Below are 2,033 nucleotides of genomic sequence, written 5' to 3' on the forward strand. Positions count from 1 at the left end.
TACAGGAATGAAGTAATAATAAAAGTATTGCAACAAGTACATGAACAACTGCTAAACACCGATTGGTGAGTTCAAGGGAGAAGCTATTCTCCTTGGGTAATCACCTACTGAGGAGTCTTTTTGGAGGTAGAACTTAGCCAGGAACTTGAACTATAAGGCTGGAAGAAAGGTTAGGAAAGTACAAAGGGAACAGATTGGGCAAAGGGTGCAATATGAAGGAGCATTGATTGTAGTCATTTGATTACAGTAATTGAAAAGCAATGAGGCACATATAGTTGAAAAGATCATTTGGGCAGGAATGAGATTGATTAGTACAGTGCCTGATCAATGCTTGATGAATTGAACTGATTTGATTATTTTACCCTAAACTTGCATTTTGCACTCAAGTAAAACATGAAGCTAGAGATCTCCCAGACATTTTTGTTGCTGTTTTTCCTCATTACTGGGGCTGCGCTATGCCATGGCTACGGGATATAGTGGTGACTTTCAGCTATTACAACTATGCTTCCTCCTAGTAAATGTTGTTGCTTCTCCTCTTCACAATTCAAGAGGTAATCCCAGTGCCATCTGCATTATTCAGATGGAGATCATAAATATTTTTGTACCAGGTGACCAGCACAGCCTTGTCCTTGCGATTTGTCATGCGTTTTCCCCTTCAATCCTTGATCTCCATTGCCCTGAAGCCCCAGCTCCCTGAACACAAAGCCTATCTTTAAAGTGAACACAAATGACATGTTAATGATTTGTAGAAACACAAAGCAGGCGGTTAATGACCATAGTTGAAATTAAGGACTTCATTTTCATCAGCTCAGCAGGGTTTGAAACAACCAGAGAAAGCTCAGGAATGAGGCCTTGCTAATGCACCTGCTTCCAGGCATGAGGGCAGCTTAACATTAACTTTCAGTCAATGATCCATAGCCCTCTTGAGGGAACTTACCATTCTTCAATTCACTGGGACGTGCTGCTCCCTACCCACTTCCTATTACACGGATACCAGCTGGGAGCCTGATACCCAGTTAGGTTTTCATTTATGAGATGCTTGGATGATAATAGAGGCCAGAGTCAAGTAAAGATTTTTATTCATATCGGTGAGGTGATTATAGCCTGCTGCAGAAAGGGATGACTAGTAATTTGGACAGGGAGATGGTACCTTTGTATTTGCTCCCTCCCCTACCTCCCCAGATATATTTTCTTCCTAATGGAATCTTGACTATACCACCCCACTCTTGAAACTATTCAATGGCTTACTATTGCTCTAAGGATAGAGACTAAGTTTCTTGACATGGTCTGTAGTATCCTGCCTGGCCTGACCCCAGCTGACAGCTCTGATATCAACTCATATTGAAATTTACTCTACTCTCTGTTCTTATCTCAGTTTCTTTCTTTCAGAAACTCCAGGGTACCTTCCTCAGCCCTGCCACAGGATTTTATACTTGTTGCTACAGTTTTCCAAAATGCTCTTGCCCGTTCTTCAGATAACTTACACTTATCCTCAGGAAAGCTCTTCTCTGATTTCGCTAGCTAGGTCAAATAAAATGCCTCCTTGAGATATAATCATAGCATCATAAAGCTCAGTTATATTTATTAATGTAATTTTTTAGTGACTATTCTTCCTCTAGATGGTACGTTCTGTGGAATCAAAGAAAGTCAGTATTGTTCATCTTGGATATCCAATTACCTGGCATATTGACCAGCAAATAGAGGACACACTAAATATTTATGAAATATAAGGATATTTAGGACAAATAAAATTACAAAAATGAAAAGCACCACATATGTGTGTATGTACATAAACACACACATACACACATATATAGTACTTTTACAATTAGAAGACTATAGAACACATCAACGAATGTTAGAACATGAAAATGAGACACTAGACTATAAAAGATAGTAGGTCTTTCAGAAAAGAGATTGAAAAGCCAAAAGAATGAGAATTGAGTCAAAAGAAAAACATAGCAATTAAAACCAGGATCACAGTAAAACATTATTTTAAATTGCTTACATTGATCATATAGCCTACAATTTAC

The 2,033-nt window shown here is 38.6% G+C and overlaps 1 annotated feature.

The window, feature by feature from the left end:
- Positions 444-1,061: an enhancer, noted in NCBI's record as "OCT4-NANOG hESC enhancer chr3:106014722-106015339 (GRCh37/hg19 assembly coordinates)". NCBI's record gives its function as "activates a minimal SCP1, AML or CMV promoter by ChIP-STARR-seq in naive H9 embryonic stem cells {active_cell/tissue: H9 hESC(naive)}" and the evidence as "EXISTENCE:reporter gene assay evidence [ECO:0000049][PMID:30033119]".

The sequence above is a fragment of the Homo sapiens genome, chromosome 3, assembly GCF_000001405.40.
Source record: "Homo sapiens chromosome 3, GRCh38.p14 Primary Assembly".
Classification (NCBI taxonomy): domain Eukaryota; kingdom Metazoa; phylum Chordata; class Mammalia; order Primates; family Hominidae; genus Homo; species Homo sapiens.